This window comes from Homo sapiens, chromosome 18 (genome assembly GCF_000001405.40).
Source record: "Homo sapiens chromosome 18, GRCh38.p14 Primary Assembly".
Lineage (NCBI taxonomy): Eukaryota > Metazoa > Chordata > Mammalia > Primates > Hominidae > Homo > Homo sapiens.
The window spans coordinates 55262209-55282509 of NC_000018.10; the positions used below are offsets into that span (position 1 = coordinate 55262209).

At 36.4% G+C, this 20301-nt stretch overlaps 1 protein-coding gene across 46 annotated transcripts in view, besides 6 other annotated features; it reads right to left on the minus strand.

Annotated features, from left to right (window-relative positions):
• Positions 1-20301, minus strand: part of TCF4 (transcription factor 4) — a 413773-nt gene that overhangs the window by 40024 nt on the left and 353448 nt on the right. For 45 of the 46 annotated variants that reach the window (NM_001243226.3, NM_001369584.1, NM_001369576.1 and 42 more), the window contains 3 exons: positions 17343-17448; positions 13411-13544; positions 7623-7755 (listed from right to left, as the gene is read on the minus strand). In NM_001243226.3, coding sequence (NP_001230155.2) covers positions 7623-7755; positions 13411-13544; positions 17343-17448 — 373 coding nt within the window. Of the gene's footprint in view, positions 1-7622; positions 7756-13410; positions 13545-17342; positions 17467-20301 lie in introns of all 46 variants that reach the window. The other variant, NM_001243228.2, reaches the window with a different exon arrangement.
• Positions 1932-2211: an enhancer, noted in NCBI's record as "active region_13355". NCBI's record gives its function as "activates an Ori minimal core promoter by ATAC-STARR-seq in GM12878 lymphoblastoid cells {active_cell/tissue: GM12878}" and the evidence as "EXISTENCE:reporter gene assay evidence [ECO:0000049][PMID:35858748]".
• Positions 4554-4663: an enhancer, noted in NCBI's record as "active region_13356". NCBI's record gives its function as "activates an Ori minimal core promoter by ATAC-STARR-seq in GM12878 lymphoblastoid cells {active_cell/tissue: GM12878}" and the evidence as "EXISTENCE:reporter gene assay evidence [ECO:0000049][PMID:35858748]".
• Positions 6053-6282: an enhancer, noted in NCBI's record as "active region_13357". NCBI's record gives its function as "activates an Ori minimal core promoter by ATAC-STARR-seq in GM12878 lymphoblastoid cells {active_cell/tissue: GM12878}" and the evidence as "EXISTENCE:reporter gene assay evidence [ECO:0000049][PMID:35858748]".
• Positions 6333-6382: an enhancer, noted in NCBI's record as "active region_13358". NCBI's record gives its function as "activates an Ori minimal core promoter by ATAC-STARR-seq in GM12878 lymphoblastoid cells {active_cell/tissue: GM12878}" and the evidence as "EXISTENCE:reporter gene assay evidence [ECO:0000049][PMID:35858748]".
• Positions 6743-6792: a silencer, noted in NCBI's record as "silent region_9473". NCBI's record gives its function as "represses an Ori minimal core promoter by ATAC-STARR-seq in GM12878 lymphoblastoid cells {active_cell/tissue: GM12878}" and the evidence as "EXISTENCE:reporter gene assay evidence [ECO:0000049][PMID:35858748]".
• Positions 6994-8193: an enhancer, noted in NCBI's record as "CDK7 strongly-dependent group 2 enhancer chr18:52936433-52937632 (GRCh37/hg19 assembly coordinates)". NCBI's record gives its function as "activates an origin of replication core promoter dependent on BRD2, BRD4, P300/CBP, MED14 and CDK7 cofactors, with strong dependence on CDK7, by STARR-seq in HCT116 cells {active_cell/tissue: HCT116}" and the evidence as "EXISTENCE:reporter gene assay evidence [ECO:0000049][PMID:35650434]".

The window sequence follows — 20301 nt, forward strand, 5'->3', positions numbered from 1 at the left end:
CCTTAAACACTGGTATTTTTATCTACAAAAGAGAAGAACAAAGAGTATTGTGAATAATAAAAGACATATATTACAGTATACAATTCAAAGCCAGCTTTCTTTAACATGTATCATTGGAAGGTATCTTGCCTTTAGAACTAAGTGATAAAATGGGATTTCCAGGATTCTTGTGGTCTTCAGTATTAACAGAATGCCTAGCACTTGGGGTATGTTGTATTTACTAAAGCCTCAACATTAGCAAATAGACATAGTATCTAAATAAAACCTATTAAAGTTCTGAGGGAAGATTGTTTTTCACTATTTTGTGAAATAAGAAAAGGAAAGGTTAAATCACCCAATGAATCCAAGCAAAACTTCATTAAACAGGTATATAATTTCAAAGACTTTCCAGCCCCATTCTTGAACTAAGAGAGCCTTCTTTCTTACAAATGTGTTGTCATCACCTTCCACACTTGTAAAATGCAGTAGTGGGGTCGGATCTTCAGTGGTCCAATTCTATGGCTTTTCCAGGTCATAATTTAATTCTCCTGACCTCTGCTTAGCATAGCTAATTTATGCTTGTTATTTTCATATATTTATATGTTGAGTTTGTCAGATGAGTTTTCTTTTTTGTTTTGAGATGGAGTCTTGTTCTGTTGCCCAGGCTGGAGTGCAGTGGCACAATCTCGGCTCACTGCAACCTCTGCCTTCCGGGTTCAAGCAATTCTCCTGCCTCAGCCTCCTGAGTAGCTAGGATTACAGGCACACGCCACCACGCCAAGTAATTTTCGTATTTTTAGTAGAGACAGGGTTTCACCATGTTGGTCAGGCTGGTCTCGAACTCCTGACTTCATGAACCACCCACCTTGGCCTCCCAAAGTGCTGGGATTACAGGACTGAGTCACGGTGCCCAGCCGATAATGTTTTGATATATACTTTATTTGGTTTACAAAACCCACACCCATATTTATTTGTTAATTGCTAAAATACTGAAAGAAATCTGGCACATGATAAGAAGAACACAATTATCTCGTGACAAAATAAACTTCCATATCACAAAGTTATGATATTAAAATACATGAGTCATTAGTACTCATGATAGGTATTGTATAAGCAAGTTCTTTGAAATGAGGGTCTGACATCATACAATTGGACCACTGGGAGCAGCTCAGATATCAAGAGTATTAAAAATATTTAATATAAGATAAAATACAACAAATTATATCTAGTGTGAAAATGAGAAGAATTTCTGCATTAAGGAGTCCTTTAAAAACTAAAAACATGGATTGCAGGCATGCACCACTATGCCTGGCTAAGGCAGGAGAATCGCTTGAACCTGGGAGGCGGAGGTTGCAGTGAGCCGAGATTGAGATTGCGCCATTGCACTCTAGCCTGGGCAACAGGATCAAAACTCTGCCTCAAACAACAAGAACAACAAACAAACCTAAAAACCATTCTAAAGAGAAAATAATAATGATGTGAAATATAGATGATACTAACCTTTTTTCAGTATGTATTACCATGGTATTTGGGGGTACTTATCTTTTTTTTTTTCCTAGAAGCGATATTTCTTTTCATTATTATATACCTAAAAATTAGATCTATCAGTCAAAATAATCTGTGATATCTGCTTGATTTGAATATAGATTTTCACAAAAAGTTCAGAGCTACATTGGAAAAATCACATTATCTAACAAAGAACCTAAGCCAAAAAAGAACAAGATATTGCTTCACTACAGATAATATCTGCTACAGTAGTGGCTTTCAAAAGATTAATTCTTCCTTTAAACAACTTTAAAATGAAGATTACAAATAATATATATATTTTTATGAAACTAAACAAAGTATTGAAAACCAATACAAATATTTTAGGAGCATTTAAAAACTAAATATATACGCCCCAAAAATCACACGTTAGAAGAGGCAAGATATTATGACCAATCTGATTTCTTTAGAACTACACCTTTCTAACTAAACATTCTATCAGTGCCTGTTTTATGCAGGGAGATATTATGACTCAGGAAATAGAATTAAAAATAGAATCAACTTCTTACCTCATCGCGTCATGAAAATATTTCAGAAAACTACAAAGGCTACCCATGGAAACCACTGATAAGAACAGACTATTTTTTAACATGAAGCGATTTTACCTTGCAACAGCTGGAGTGCCAAACCCAAGGGCTTAAATTTCAAAGCAGTTTACTGGGGCCAGTTTGCCCTTTCACTTGGAATGCCTTTTGTTCTGGTCCAGGAAACACTGGAGAAGCTACATTTTCTAGATTGCCTGAACATGTTAAGCTACATGAGTCTTTCTCTTACAGATTTCTCTTTTTATTTGTGTGACAGATATAACAAAGGGTATAACTGGAAAAGAAATATATTTTAATTCTCAAGTGGCAGAATTTTTTTTTTTTTTTTGCATTGAGAAGTGGGCCATGTTTAGCAAGATACATTAAAGCTGAAAATGTGGGTTTGATGTAACAGGACTTGATTACTCTTTGAGGCCCAAGATTTTTGTCAATTCATATTAGAGATGATCAAAATGTCCATGTAACAGAAAGATGAAAACTAATGCATTTGCTTGGTAAAGACTTTATCGATTTCTAATTTTGGCTCTAATCAATTTATCTTGCCCAAGAGAAATATAATCAGTCCCTAAGTAGAGCTGTAACATACAAATATGAATGGAAGATGAGCAGTTATTAAGAGGAACTGTAATTTTTGTAGGAGGCTTCGACACTGCCTGCCACCCAAGTATTGTTCAGATGGCTTGAACACAGGTGGTGTTGCTGGCTAGAAGATGAAGCAGAAAGAAAGGTTTTGTATCTTGGGTTACATGCTAGACCACCCTCTGTCTCAGCCTCAGCTTTGGGGAAATGTTCATTCCCATTAGAACACACCCTCAACAAAACACTGGGATGAGTGGTGCCTTGGGATCAACTACTAAAAATCAGAATTTGGAAAATGTGTTGCCCCTTTAATGCACACCCATCATCTAAGGCTGGGAACATCATGAAGGCATCAAAAGAATAAGCAGCACAATTCACACTGTGTTTGCCTGAGAGAAGATGACTGCTTTCAAAGTAGGTTTTTCTAAACTGTGTCCGAGTGACCCTCGTGTTATTAAACCATTAGAAACAGCATAACAATGCCATGTGCTTATCTATAAAGATGACAAAAAGAAGGAACATTTCCAGCACTCCTACTACAACCATTTTAAAATACAAACGCAAGTATATAGACTACAATGCACTATTTTTTAACAGGAGGGATTCCTAGGAATTCAGGGGGAAGTTGGGCTTCCTGATCGTGCACAGGAAATGGAGGAGATTTAAATCAAACTAGTTTATTGTTCTCTGCTGGTGGTCTTGGTAACTAAGATGCCTTCACATTGCTGGATACAATTCTTATTACTCTTATGCTCTGTGCTTGTTCATCGCCTGACTACTTCAAGGCTCAATATTCTTGTAAAATATAAAGTGAACATTATGTGACTACTCTAATAATAAAATTACTGTGAAACCAAGTCCTCAAAGAGAAAAGGACATAATGTTTCTACTAGACAAGCCACATACTAACATGTCATTCGAAGTTAAAGTTCTAAGCCAGATTAATTCATGAACCAGATAGATATTCCAGGGTAATCTTTAGCATATGGTGTATTAAATCAATCTTGGTAGTCTGTTCCTTCAACCCTGTTTGGTTTGAGGTTTAAAAACGTGGAAAAGACCACGTATTAGAATGCAGGCCAGTTAAAGACTAATAAAACAATAATAGTTATTATAACCATTATGTTAGTTATATGACCAGTTCTCTCTGAGGGCAAGGGAGTGTGTGTAGCCTCAAACCACAAAGGGTCACACCCTGTGAATGTATACAGATGGTATGTCCCAATGGGGAGACGACGCATTCTCACCCTTGAGCAGTCTCAGTGGTCTGTGCTATGGTAGGAGGTCCTCTTACTTCTTTCCATCAGGAAGGGCTACTGGATATTATTGCAAATAGGAAGGAAGTATGTGGCTAACCAAATGTGTATGGTTAATATCCTGCAGACATTCCTATTCTCTATAGCTGGTATCTAATAACTTACTACACTTCCTCCTCCGTATGTATGCTCAGATGCAGAGGCACTGAACTGCACTGCTTCTGAGAATACCCAGTGGCATAACATTGAAAAAGTTTGAAGAACTGAGTAGAAGGTGCTGATGCTGGTAACTCCCAAAGACCCCTGACAGCTTCTTTCCTTAACTGGGTGCGCCACCAGCTGAACTACTGTGAATCCATGCTGTGTCCCATACATTATATTCCTCTAATTGGAGGGCTAATTAGATGACCTTTTCAATTCAGAAAGGTCTAATATGATCTCCAGAGTTTGCCAGCAAGGCTTGAGAAAAGTAGTGGACTGTATGCAATGAGTAAAATACCTTGTTCTACAATTCTCTTGAAAATCCATGGATGAATGTGTCATGAAAAAAAAAAAATCTCTCATTAATGTAATCCAAGTAAGCTTTATCCTTCTTATGGATTTCTCAAAAAATGATATTGGGTATTATAGGGCAAAAGAAAACAAAACAAGAAACACCTGGTCACTCCCCCAAGCCAAACAAACAGCAAACCTCAGTGGGCATCTTCCACCTTTGAGATGCAGAGAACAGAAGAAGAAAGGGAATGTGGTTACAGAGAGGTTCCCTTCCGAGAGTTCTAGAGCTTGTATCTCACCCCACATGCACTGCGTTGTTCTAGTGTCAGTTCAGGACAACTGCTGACCACCAGAAAGACATATTATAACATGACACTGAGACGAAGGGCAGCAGCCCTCTTCTGAACTGAAAAAGCAGCTTCCTAAGACATCAACACCATGTATGAAAAGACTGCACTGTCTTGCAACTTTTTACCAGGAAAACGTGAAAAATGTGATGTCCATGTGTTAGTGCTCGAACCCCATTCTTAAGGCATTAGTATTGCTTACAGTCATTTTCTACAGAATCGTGTGTAATCTCAAACATGTGTCAGGCTATGTGTTCCCTATTTGCCAATTATTTAATTAGCTCTGTTTGTTCTTTGAGATACAGGCAACGTAATATTTCTTTACTTCCTGCGTTTCAGAATGAGTGAGTATATGCCAAATATTTTCAAAAGTCTGCAGATGTATCCTATTAATCCATACTGTTTGTTAGGGTAGTATCACTAACATCAGAAGAGAAAGCTTCTCTTCTTGTTATACAGACACGCTGCCATCACTGACTTCTACCACACTCAAAAAATCAAACCAAAGCCTAAGAGAACTTAAGTGTGAAAAAACATGGGCCACTCAGACATCACGCAATACTAAGGCTTATTATGCTTAAATTTTCCTCTGCATTTTCACGTACGCAATTGGTGAACATATTATTTTAAAGAAAAACATTCTAGAATGTTCTCCCTTAAAGTAACCTTAAAGTAATATCTGTATCTATGCATAATAATAAAGGTTTGCTCCTCCAAAATGCTGAATTACCATGTCTACCTATTTCCTTAAAGATTATGCATCTTTTTCTCATTCCGCTAGTGGATTTTGACAAGTGCATCCATTATTGTAAAATAATGTATGAAATAAATTTCTAAAAAGCCCTTTTCTGGGTTCTAAAAATCTCATACTTTTGTTTTTAAATTATAGCTCCTTTATTATTGTCAAGACCCTTAAATAAGGCCCTATGGTTTTTAACAAGTTAAGTCTATTCTCAGCATATAGAAGTCACCTATTGCTCCACTCTGGCTAGACCAACAAGTAGATTCTCCTGTTCATCCACAAACTAATGAAGATGACCAGCTAAAACCAAGCAAAACTCATTCCCACTGAGAGCTGTGGCTAAGCTGTCTACAGCTCATGGAGATAACCACCCTATTTCCTGATATGTCCCTTCCAAGTCATAGTGCCTCTCTCTCAAGAGGACTGTTTTGCAAATCAATCAGAAAAAGTTTTTTTTCAAACAGAGCCTAAGTATGTTTTCCTCAACTCAAGGTTCTGCTCCACCTTCATACCTTCCTAAAAAAGAAAATTACTCAAACCACAAGTAGACAGGAAATCTGTCTTGTAAAAGGATGAATGACCGGTCATCCTTCTTTATAACCAGACCTCATGACTGCAGAAAGGGGCTTTCCATTTGTCAAACCACACTGAAGTGAAATATGCTTTTCTCACTCTTTCAGTTCTGCACTGCTTTCTTTCTTCTTGTTTTTCAAATCTGCCAAAACTGCATTGATAGCTAACAAACTTCCCCATGTGACCTCTGTCTGTAGCTCTCCAAGGTCAAACTGATGCAACATATTTGTAGAAGCTTGGTTAGGAAAAGTTAAAAAAAATGGAAACTCTCTCCTCAATTTGCTTCTTAGACAGGATAGCGGAGTGGAGAGGCTGCGAGATAGCTCATCTCAAGTGTGAGATATATTATTGAATACGCAGGGAGGGCATTATTGAGGCAGAAATTATATTTCCAACATTTCAAAACACATCTCTCCTCCAACATCAAAAACTTTCCTACATAAGTGATTCACGCCACTTCCCCAAATTCTACACACTCTCTAAAGAAAACAAGTGCAAAGAGCTAAGAGGACTCAACAGCAGCATTATTCTGTTGCGCCATCTTCTCTCAAAGACATACACTGAGTATTCTCCCCACCGACGCTCTGACAGTGACATTCAGGCCAAGCAAGGAGTTAGTTTGAGCTATAACCGCAGAAAGTGACTACCTGAGAAGTCTGAGGTTTTAATAAGACCCTGGGGCACTAAGCTGTGCTGCTCATCTGAACAACAAGGTGTCAAAGCTGGTTCAGAAGCAGGTAGCTATCTCCCCACCAACTCCACCTCTTCCCTCCAGGGGCAGCTGGACATCCAGCCCAGTTCATTCCTCAAAGTGGGAATACTGACTGGGGAACCACCTATGGAAAAGACTACAGTGAACATCACAAGAAATGAGAGGATGATGGCTCAGTTCATGGGAACAGCATTCTTCTTGGACCTTAACTCATTAGTAAATGTCCTTGGTAAAAATTAATTAATTAATTAATTTAAAAAAGCAGCAAATAATTTCTGGCCAACTGATGCCCACGCATCTCCTCTCTCATAAGTGAACAAATACTTCTTCCCCTCTGAGGGACTCCACAGTGTCACATTCTCCAGGAGATTAACCTCATGTAGTTATTAGCAGTCACCTGAGAATTTCACATTAACCAGTCCTCGGAAGACAGTGGCACATCATGGATAAGAGCCTAGCACAATGACTGGAATTTTGGGAAGTGGTCAATAACTACCATTAAGAGCTATTCTGCTTTGTAGCTCACTAGTCACTGATGGCTCATCTTATGACTTTGTTCACTCTTTTTGAATGTGAGGAACAAGATAGTTTTGGTCTGTTTGAACCCTTGTTCAATCTAATGACTTGCAACGTAGAACGTAGCTAAATTTCAGTGTCTTGTGACGAAAAATATGGTTATGCTCAAGCCAGTGATTTTACTTCTGTTTGGTACATTTGTGTGTTCATTCTGTCATGTGACTAATATTTAGTGCCTAATTGCTATTCAGTTATGAAAGGGAAAAAGAGGTCCTTGATGATTAAACTCTGACACCAATTGTTGGTATCAGAATTGGCATTTCTGTGACTCACCCATTATACTGTCTGTCCCGTTGGCAGGAGGCGTACAGGAAGAGGTGCTGTAATGGTTTGTACCACTACGATGGAAAGTGGACATCGGAGGAAGACTGGAATTGATGTCTGCTGAGGAGTGTGATGGATAGCTCTATAGCAAGAAGCAGAAAAAGGTGGCCATATTTAATCATAAGGTATTTAGTGAGTTATTTTCAAATACTTTTCTCACAACTCTCTATTTTACAATGGAGACAGCTTTTAGAATTTCAAAATAGCCAAGAATATATCTTGTTTAGATCTGACAGCTTTCATTTTTCAAATAATAAGTTATACAGAAACATAGCTTGGGTTTGCATCAACTGTGGAGGGATATAATGGCAATGAGGGACATTGAGAAATGATCACAATCTCGAAATCTACAGATTACTGCTTAAAATCATCTCCAGGGTTTCGGCAACATAAAAGACCACTCTACTATTAATTTTTTTGTGTGGCCTATTGATCAAGTGAAAAAGATTCCACTATATAATGAATAAAACAACATTATGATCCACAGGGCTTATATTACATTTCATCCTGATCTTCTTGAAACTAAATGGCAAAGACTAACCAGTCTCAAATCTTCTTCCTCCCAAATTAAATTTTTTTGAACCCCAGCAACAATAAAATTTAGTAAATAAAAAATTTAAAAAGCACTAATGGTTAAATATCTCTCTTACTCATCAATATGTAACTATTGACTATACTGAATTAAATTAGGACCACATGACTTATTTTGGTTTGAGTACTTTCTTTCCATGCCCCACCTACAAGCAATCCTCACATAGCTGGCAATGAAAGAACAACATCTTTACAGAATCACTTGGTTTAAGACTCTGCTTTGAGTTTAATTATTATATTAGTTTTCCAAATAAGCTGTGTTTCTTGGGTATGCCACAGTGCCTGTAAGGTGGCAAATTAGTTGCAATCCACCCATCTGCTTGGGAATGAACAGCTCACTAAAATGGACATAGTAATTTACAAAAAAGTGCTGAGCTATTTTCAAGATAAAAAGCAGCTTCAAAAGTTATTCTCATAGGCATCTGAATGTGTTATGTAAAGGCAATATATTAAAGCTAAAATACACTTTTTCTTCATATGCAATATATTAATGGATTATGAGTCTTTATTATATCATTATTGGAAATGCTGTTAAAAATTGTTTATTTCAAAATAAGAGATTGAATATGATGCTGATAGTCACGGGTATTTAAAACCCAAGCATTTGCTCACGAGGAATGAAACCATAGTCTCTTGAGTGTTGCCCTGTTTACTCTGTGAGATCCGTCTTGAATTCTACCTCTTTCTTGAAGAGTCCCTGACTACCTCCAACTCTTCCACCATCTCTTCTCTCTAGGTCCCTAATGCACTTACATTCTGCACTATTGTCTTTAACACTTAATTATATTTGGCCTTTCATTTCTTGCTTTTTCTAATGTATTTTCACCTGTATTGTAAACTCTTTAAAGGAATAGAGCTTATAGTTCTGCATCCCACAACTTGTGGCTAACTACTGAACACATAATTATACTATACGCTCAATGAACAATTGGTTATCAGTCAGAATTTAATAAACAGTGGATTGAAGTATAACTTATTTGAGAGCCAACTAGTCTAAGGAAATGAATCTACGTATTAGAGGTAGGATTTTCAAAGACGCATGAATGTTTTTGAAAATATTACCTCTGTATGACCAAAATAGCCCAACTTAAAAGACTTCCGTAAAAAAGTTGAGATGATGCCTTTAAATCTTTCCAAGTTCCTGAGAATGCCTTTCAAATTTTTAAATTCCATGGACCTCTTTCTTTCCTTGACCCCAAAATTCCTTAGGCCACCTGTTAAACTCATTTCTACTTGCCACCTAATGAACACCCAAGGTAGTCCATGGAATTTTCTCCAATGAAAAATATAGTGGGCCCATTCCATAGTACAGCTATTCTGAAAGCTTAGCAGGGATAGAGGTATTTCTGCTATAGAGGTAAGCACTATAACAAAATGGAGGAAAAGAAACAGAATGTGGAAAAAAGAACAAAAAAAGAGATGACTAACTTTAACCTCACTTCTACACAGTCCTATTCCATGTGGAATTTCTGAAGAACAGACGAACTACAAATCTGCCTGAAATGTGCAAAAATCAAAAAAAGAGGAGAAGAATTATAAATATTTAACTAACTATAATAATCAGAAGATGAAACAAAACAGATAATCACATCGGTGAGAATCTTTGGGCCCTTTTAACTTTATGTAAAATGGGCAGTAATTTGGGATTTGACAAAGGGTTAACGCTGAGTTCACAGAATAAAAAGAAAAATTAATCCCCATAGATTATAAAGGAGTGAACCAATGGAATCCATGTAAATCAGTTATTTTTAGAGACTCATAGAAAATTAGTTGTTGAAATAAACTAACGAGATTTATAACTAGATTATTTTACATTAAAAACTATCTTGAAAACTACTGTCATTCAGAGATGTAATAAATACACCACAGAGAATAATGTCTCTTTTAGAGGATTTAGGGATAAACTATAAGAGGTCCTCTTAGTCTCTTACTCCAGCTATTACTGTCTTTCCTGCTTGCTACAAAGGACATGAGGAGTGTGACAAAGTGCGAGGCTTTACATGCCCACTATTCGTTCATTTTAACTTATGATGCCCAAGAGTCCTGTATTTCGTGTCTATTAACAGAGTAATTGTTGGAAATGTTTCCATTACTGATATACTGGTTGATAATTCAAACATTAGAAAAATATAATAACTGGTGCACATAAATAAGAATAAAATCATGCTTTGGGTTTGGGCAGGATTTCACAACCTTAGCACTACTGATCTTTTGTGCCAGACAATTCTTTGCTGTGGAGGCTCTCCCATACATGACGTCATGTTTACCAGCACCCCTAGCCTCTACGCACTGGATTCCAGTAGCATCTAGCCCCTAGTTGTAACAATGAAAATGTCCCCAGACATCACCAAACGTTCCCTGAAGGGAAAAACTGCCATCAGTTGAGAATTACTGAAGTAAGGGTTTATGTTACAAAAAAATAAAAGAAAACAGAACTTCCTTTAAAGGAAAATTCCAGACTCCTAGGACTGTTTCGCCCTGTAGTGCAAAGACCATGCCTAAATCATGCCAGACAGTGAGGACTCTATCCTGTTCTTAAAAAGAACTCTGCCAAGTCATTCCAAACATAAAATCATCTACAACAACCCATTCCAAACTTTAACCGCAAACTCCATTCATCTGAGTGATTTTGTGTGGGTATGTGTAACACAGTAATGATTAGCTGTGGGATTCTGTTGGACAGGCTAAAACTGTAAAGGGGATTTAAAGACTAAACATCAGTAACTTGACAGTCGCTACTGAAATATGTGGATCTTAAGCTTTATAATTACACATTCTGTTATAACATGGCATAAAGTGATGAAGGCAATGATGTTTTTAAAATATTTTATCTTTACAGATAATATCAACTTGGCCAAATTATACCCCAAATAATCCAGGAACAGCGCTTAGCTTTTTCTTAAACTATCCCTTTGTTCAGTATGGGGCTAGCCAGATGCTAAGAATAAAATTATAAGGAACTACCATTATTTTCAACTGAAAGGACACCAACTGCTACTATATATTCAAAGTATTGTCAGTGTCAGATTCTTCTAAGTCACTTCAGTAAAAGATTTTCACATGGTTAAATACTGAAAGTACAATGACAACTAGATATAATAATTCAATAGTTTCACTAACAGTGGGAAAATTCATTAGTATACATTGCAAGATAGCTTATTCATGTCTCCTTTAAAACAAAAACTCTACTCTCTGAAATCTGTTAACTGTTCAGATGAAAAATGAAAATCCTGTGTTTCGTGATAGGTAAATGGCATTGCAAATATGGCTTCTGATATAGCCTACTGGGTTACTACTTCAAAATGATATTTTCTCTCTAGTTCATAATATTGTTTTGGTTCTGTAAAATTTTTTCTAAAAGGAATATAGTTGGTTTCCATTTTGAAATTATACTTTTTGTGCATGGAAGCACATTTTAAAGCTACTTCCCATGCAGTGAACTGGACTAGGATAAAATCAAATCGCCTAACTCAAAACTCTTGAGCATGATAGGAGAAGAAAGAAAGAAACACAGAAGGGAAGAAAAATTAATGTCAAATGGGCAACTCTTAAAAGAACTGAAATTCCAACATGCGGTATAGTGCCTAAAACTTTTATTTGTAATCAAAACTTTCCTTGCTCATAGGACACATACAGTTTTGACCATGAGTTCCCACAGAAGTGGAAAATGATGGTGCAGAAATGAAAATTTTAGCCAAAACGGATTCTAGCATAATAATAGTTGATATAGTTGATATTTCTCTAAGCTTTCACTCTAATATCTCCAAATAGGAGGTGGGAAAAGAGAAAATTTGAAAATAAGTCATCTGCTATTTACTGGAAATGTGCTGAAATGTGAGATAGTTTGTGATTTACACATTCAATCTTGGGAGGTGATACAAAAAGGCCAATACCATTTCCACTGTCTGCCTCTCAGGAATGTATAGGCTAATTGACTACTTAGCATCTCTACCACTAGGACCAACTAAATACGGATTTTCAAGGATATCAGAAATCTTAACTTCTGGAATTTTTTTGATTATTGGAGTAGGAGATCAGATCCTGTTTCTTATCTGTACTGGTTGAGCAAAAGAGAGCAAAGACCACATGAATCCAGAATGATTTCCTTTATCAGAACAGAGAAAGAAACCTAAGTGTAGATATGAGAAGAAGAAAAAGGGGCAAATGCAAGATGAATAGTAGTGATGTAAGTATCACCTGGGATCACTGGATTTCCCATATGCTTTCGCATTTGTAGGATGTGAGGTCCACATATTGTTTAAGCTATGTTCTTGCACAAGGGATTCAAGTTTCATCTTATCTGCATCCCAAATCTCACTCAAGATCTAGGCTCTTTCCTCTCTTTAATGACAGACTTAAGTTCAACAGTGGATTCTGGGCTGTGGTGATATTTAAGGCTAGAAGAAAGTCAGCTGAGTTGTTTCCTCCAGGATAAAGAGACATACTATGATAGATGAATGTAGGTGATGGACAGAGTGGAAATGTTTAGTAATGAAAGACCTAACATTCTAGAGCCCACCAGTTTTCACCTGGAGTGACGCAAAACACAGTATGAGTGGCAGGCTGGGATGGGAATTAAAGTTAAAATACTGAAAAATGGGAATCTGATCTATGTAGAAACCTCATGGTTTCTCTTACTGATGGAAGTCTACAGAAAATACAAACTCCTTCTTTTGGATACATCACAACAGGCCAAAGCTGACATAGGCCAGTCAATGGGAAATGAAATGCTCCTGGGTGATGCATATAATCTACCGACTGTCACTCTGCCCTCTGCAGTACATCTTTTGAAACTACAGATAGAAAAAAAAAAAAAAAAAAAAAAACCAGGAACCACCATGTTAAGATTCTACAACTTAAATAGGTATCTATTTATGTACCCAAGGAAGCTGACATTGTGATAAAGAAGGCACAGAGCAAAACACAATAAACAAAAGAACAATGCCAGAGAGAATCTGGAAGAATTTACAAAGGTGATTTGAACCTGTTATGTCTTTGATCACAGAAACAATACAACTTAAGAATAATGGGTGTGTGCCATTTTTGCACTTATTTGCAGAGTCCTTGTGTATATGCATGGAAAGACAGAGGACGAGGTTTAATCAACTAGCTGTGACATTCCCGTTACCGTGTATGTCTGCCTTACCAAACGTTCATGTGGATGCAGGCTACAGTAGCTGCTGGACTGTGGAATATGAGAAGAGTTGCCCAACATTCCTGCATAGCCAGGCTGATTCATCCCACTGGAGGAGCTCCAAGGGTCACTGCTGTGATGGCCATCTGTAAAGGACAAAGACAACCATGACTTTCTGAGGCATTCAGCCTTGCCTTATAGAATAGGGTTTTTTCATATACTTGAAAATGACTGCCTGTTGTGTTATTCATCTTTGTGTTGGTTAGCTGATTACATCAGAAGACAGTCATCATTTCTTCCCAAGTGGCTCTATATTGTCAAACAAATATAAACACTTAAAAAAGTTAAAGTGTTCTTGGTAAAAATTGAACTGTAAAAGAACAACAGAGTATATTTCTACCATGAATTATGTCAAGTCGCAAGGTAATTACTGCTAAAGGAAACATTTCTTAGAAGTCTTCTAACTGTTTTTTCTATGAAAACCAACTAAAAAGTTAAATTGTTCCTAAACTTTGGGGTGAAAAGTACTTGAGAAATTACAAAGTTGACAAGTTTTAAAAGCATGTAAAGAAGTATTAATTTTAAAAAATCTCAGATTGAAAATGTTTAATTTCATTTTTAACATATACAATAAATAGAATTAAAGTTGGAATTATAATTATATTACGGCATGCAGAGAAGATGAATCTCAAATATATAGTTCTTAGGATATTTTATTTTTATTTTTTGGTGTATAGGTATATAGCTATCTTAAACCTTCAGTAGCAATCCAAAGGGTACAAACATGCCCTAGGTAGCTATTATATTACAGATATTTTTGAGAGTCTCTGGATTTTATAAAACGATTTATGAATTATAGAGGTTTAAAATTATATAAAGTATCTTTCAACATAAGGTTAACCTTTTGTTAACATTCTTATTAAAAACATCCCTACGGATTTTTTCATTCTCTGGGCCTATTGGCCTACAGGTTATTATTAATGATTGCTAATGTTTAGGTTTGGTTTCCCAAGCCTAAGGGAAAAGATGATCTACATTACTGCTAAATTCATTCATTTTTTCTTTGTTTCAATAGTTTAACAAAAAGTATTGAGTACTAGGTATACACTAGGCCATCAGCTGGCTGTTAAATGTATAGCAGATATTGCTTCCTTGAAAATAAGATTATTTTCACCATAACATTTTATATAGTAAAGGCCTATTAAAAAGTTAGGCAATAGAAAAGTTAAATCTGACACTGTATTTCGTGAAGCTCTTTTTCATTGAGTTCTTAAATCCGGAAGTTAGAATTTTGTAACTGGACTCATTTCATATTGGGAGGAATAGTTTGCAGATTCCTCTCTTTAAGAACCATGCAAGCAAAATCATGTCTGTGATTTTGACAACTTCAGAGTTTTAACTAGAAGATGGAAATTGAAGTTACAAATAAGAGGCCACAGTAGTGAGTTTACAATATGCCCCAGACAGTTTCTGAACATCTTTCACCTTAATTGCATATTCCTTCAAGTCTTGAATTCTCAGGGCACCAAGTACCCCTCTACTGAAAGGAAGCTGATGTGGGACAGGACCATGATGCAACTGTTTCTGTGGCCATCATGTGAAAACACATGATTTTTTTTAAAGTTATCATTCATGTACTTGAGCTTTAGTCCTTAGATTACAGAGGTTTAAATGTCACCTTAAATTCAAATATGAAGTTCAAGATCACTAACATTTTAAATAGATGGCACATATGACAAATAAATTGAAAACATATATCACTAAACAAGAGTCTCCTGACAATGTGATACCCTGGGTGGCAATGCGTTTAGGACTGTTAACACAGAGTACTCTGCTTGATGCAGACTTATAAAAATACATATTTTACATAAATTATGCTTTTCACAGTAAATTAATATTTATCACATCCCATGATCTTGGCATAATGTTCTTTTGAAAGAAAGAATAGAATTAGATGTGTGCAAATTAATTGTGCTCATCAAAAATGTCAACTCAATTTTTTTTTTTTTTTTTTGCTTTTCGGGTATGCATATGCAGATAAACAAATTTGTTCCCCATATTTTGTGTGGTCTGCTAGGGAAAGGAGCCTACTGATATAATCTACCTGGCCTCTCCTGCAATGTGCACCCTTCCAGAAAGCCACTTTCCTGGGCAGATAGAAAAAATATATCCTTCCGTCAATGTTTTCAATCGAAATCTGTTTTGAGTGATGGATCCTTGAGTTGCCAATCTCTGTAAGCTCCTGTAGGACAATATCTCCCACTGCTCACAAAACAGGGGACTGATGCTGAGGTAGCTACTGTTTATAACTGAAGGTGATTAGCTTTTTGTCACGGCACAAAACGCACCCAGGTGACATAGCCTGCTGTGTCCCTTTGAGTTACACCTAGGACGGGTCACAAAGTTAAAGGACTTCTGACACACGGGCTCTATTATGCGTGGAACAAATTCTCTCTATTCCTAACAGAGCCATTCCATCCAATTTTATAGATTTCCATGGAATTTCACACGTGAACTAACAAACTAAAAGAGCTAACACACTGAAGGGAAGGAAGATTAGTATCTTTTAATGAGAATGATTTTGAGTGTGTCCACTATATCAGGCTGCTTCCCTGGTACTCTTTGCCCCAAATGTGCTCCCCTTCCTGTGACATGGCCCTTCCTAGAGATGCATAAAGAAGGAAACCCCATGGCCCGTAGACAAGGCTTATACAAATAAGGTTTTCACACCTGGGCAAAAAGAGTTAACATTTTGCACACAGGGGTTCTTGGTAAATTCCACATCTAAATTCAGGGCATTAACTTGGTAACAAGATAATTACATTAGAAAATAAGTGCCACACACATATCAGGATGGAGCCCTTAGGGGCATCCTCCAAGTGGTTCATTCTTGAAGTAGCTGCTATCATTTCAAACATCTTGGTCTTTTTAAAAAATTCATTTATTTATTTGTTTGTTTATTTATTTATTTATTTATTTTGAGATGGAGTCTCGCTCTGTTGCCCAGGCTGGAGTGCAGTGGTGCAATCTCAGCTCACTGTAAGCTCTGCCTCCCAGGTTCATGCCATTCTTCTGCCTCAGCCTCCCGAGTAGCTGGGACTACAGGTGCCCACCACCACGCCTGGCTAATTTTTTGTATTTTTAGTACAGACAGGGTTTCACCATATTGGCCAGGATGGTCTTGATATCCTGACCTTGTGATTTGCCTGCCTTGGCCTCCCAAGTGTTGGGATTACAGGCGTGAGCCACCGCACTCGGCCACATCTTGGTCTTTTTTGAGCAGCAGAAAGGTATACGCTATCAGTAGCAAGACTACAAGCTCAGGGTGGGGGCACACATCCATGTATTTAAACATACTGGACAATTCCATAATTTCCTATATTTGTCTTCTCCCCCAAAAGTTGGGCCTTTTATCCTAAACCAGTTACTATGTTGGGACAGAGCTTTCACCATGTAATATTCCAGTCTGTGGTAGGTTACTTCATCTTGGACCCTTGTTCTTACCTACAAATTAGTAAGTGGGTGAAAATTTTACATAAGGTTATACATTAGGCCAACTTGTTCCCAGTTGGCTAAATCCAGGATGTTCAAAACATACATGGAGCTGAACCACTTCTAAACAAACAGCTACATCGTCTTGGGGATGGTGAAGATGCTGAAATGGTTGGTCATGAGTGGAAGACCATCATAAGCATCGGCTCTAAGTGAAGCAGATCAATCTAATCTTAACCCATTACTGCTTAAAGGGGTTTAATTGTAAAGAAAGACTTAGTACAGTTTTAATTAATACATCAATTTTTAAGGAATTCAATTCCTAAGAAGAGCATGACTTCAAAAATTCTACACTTGCCTACTATTCCATTTCTTCTGCCCCATCTGTGACATTAAGTGACCCAGGAAAATGCTATCCAGTGGCCTTTCCCTCAGAAGCAGCAGCATCTTACCTTGCATGAAGAAGGAGCTAGGGAAAGTGCTGGTTGCTGGTTTGGAGGAAGGATAGCCTGGCGAGTCCCTATTGTAGTCGGCAGTGCTTGCTGATGGAGCATAGACCTGAGGAGAAAGAACCAACTGAGTTTTGCTTTTTGCATTGACCACAGCAGCCCAAGCTCCATTCTTATATAAGAAGTAGGCAGAAAGTGCTACATTTCTACCCTTTCCAGTTTAAATCTGAACAAACCCTAGAAACAGTGCCCTTTCCGAACACACTAAAACAAACACAACAAAACGAAACAAAAGCTCGGTGTATTTGTGCGAACAGAAAATAACCAGGTGTGTTATATTCCAGTTGATGTAAACCATGTCTAGTTGTAAATACACTGTATAATGCCCATAGGGTAATCCTGTGAGTCTAAGCACTTCTTTCTTTTTCTTCTAAACACAGATGGCCCATAAGCATGTGAAAATGGTAAAAACAGAAAGACATGCATCAAACCTCTTTCAAATGGTAGAGTAAAAACTCTACCTTTCAATTAAAATTTTCACTTTTACAGAGAGGAGGTAGGGAGGGGGGAGACAGAGAGAACACAAATGAACTATCCAAACCACAGAAAGTGATAAATATATCTTAGAATATTAAATTCCCATAGTGTCAGCTTTTTGCAGAGATGCATGAAAAAGGCCATTAAAAGCCTGGATCTACATAAGACCACCAACAATCAGTGTGTGCATAGGAAGCGGGAGGAGGGAGCCCTCCTTTTTCATGCTTATTATATTTGTGTGTACAATAAACTTAAAAAGTGTGCCAAAAACCTAATTTACTTACATTCATTTACTAATACTCATGAGACTTGGGAAACCAATTCTTTATACAAATAGCCTGTGTATTTTCTTGTTTATGTTTTTTTTAAACAGGACAGCATAGTAGAAAAGCACAAATTCATAAGGTATAGTTTAACTTTAATTGGTTTTCCCCCTTGCCTTTTCTGCTAAATATAATTTTTTTTAATCCCCATTTTCTTTTGCTCTCAAAGTTCCTCTCTCCAGATGGTCAGAAAGACTGAAACACTGTCATCCTCTTGATGAAAATGGATACCTTCCTGCCTCCATTTTGAAGCAGGCAGCGGCTCACAAAATTGGCAGTGAGCCTACAGTGATATTCACAGGTCACAGTAAAAGGAAAAGAAATTCACCAATAAAAAGGCAAGTGCAGGGTTACCAAAAAATAACTCTCATTTTTTTTTACAGTGCACATCGAATAAACACCCCAGAAAAATTATATAATTGCTCTCAGAACACCATGAATCATAAACTAAGCATTAATACAAGGTTTAGGATTTCACAAAGGATAGGTCCACAGAGACAGATGTGGGAAAATATGCATCTACATCCATACATCAAATAAATGCTACACATGCCCCAAAGTGCCCTTGAAAATTGGGAGGTCCTGGAGCTTTAACAAAACAAAAACAAACCAGAAAAGCCCACTCGCACTTCAGAAAACAGGGATTTTTCTTAAGGCACTAATGGATACAAGCCCTATATTTCACTGGACTTTATTTTGTAATTTTCATCACATTTTAAATGTATAAACAGTGATTTGCTTCTATTTCCAGAGGGCTTACAATAAGGAAAAAAAACTTTTTTGAGTATTTTTAAGAAACAAAGAATAAAACTTTGGCTAGGAATCCAAAAACAAACCAATGATCTAAGTTCTGTCAACCACATCTCAGAATTTTCTTGAGAACTATTAACTAACAAAGAGTTTGTGAATTACTACTGAAGGTATTTAGAGAAGGTCTTGAGAATAATCTAACAAGATGAAAGAAACATCACAGGAAAAAGGGAAACTGAAAACTGACGGAATGATTGTAGTGTGACTATAATATATCTACACGCTATTAGCCTGACAGCAATCTGGCCTCAGTATTAACATAAGCTAAGTGTACTATGGAATATACCCAAATTTCAGAAATCAATATATTTATTATAAAACTAAAAAGAATCTCCGACCCATATTATTAAATCATCTTATGTTTTAAAACAATTAAAATCAATTCTTTTCATATATACTTTAATTTTAATTACATATTCTATTACATTATCCTTAAACATATATATCATTATGTCAACACCATTTGATGACACCTAATAAGGTTTATCCTTTTTCTTTTTTTTTTTCCAATTTGGATAGAATTACTTGGCATTGCTTTTGGAAGATAAGGAAAAATCTTTGGTTAATTTTGGTTATTTACAAGGAGGCTACTTTGACTATGAATTATAATCAAGCTCAAATATCTAAGAGTAGGTCACTTACTCCAAATTCATAAATATTGGCTGCATGGAGAAGAGTATCTATGGAATTGAAATGTTTTTAGGATATATTATAGTATGTAATTTCTATTTTTCTGCTGTTTTAGCCAATTGAAGACTTTTTAGATAACATGAAACTCTTTGTTAATAGGCAACGGACCACTGTTTATAGTTTTTTATACAGACAATTTCTACATATTTTATACATTTTCTTTATATCATAATTTACAAATCAGATACAATGTTATTCATCTTCCATTTAGATACTTTATCATTCTTACCTCAAAAGTTATTTTCAAGGTAAGATCTCTATATTTTTGTTTATATAAATAAATAAATATCACATATAACTATACTTTTTTAAAGAAGGGAACCAACAAATTTTAGTTCAACCTCCCACATTTCAAATATAAGAAAACTGAATAATGAAATGGTCACAGAAACATCACTCTTATTTTTCACCATTTGATAGGGTACTTTTTTTTAGAATGGTGGCGGAGACATAGATGGTATTTATGAAAACACCATGATCATAATTTTCACAGTTCAGTTTATCTCTAATGGTTTAATTTTTCATAACCTGGATGACCAGTGAACTGCTTCATTACTTTTACTTCAGTCAACTCTTTTGCCAATTTCTCAATCAAGCTTTCA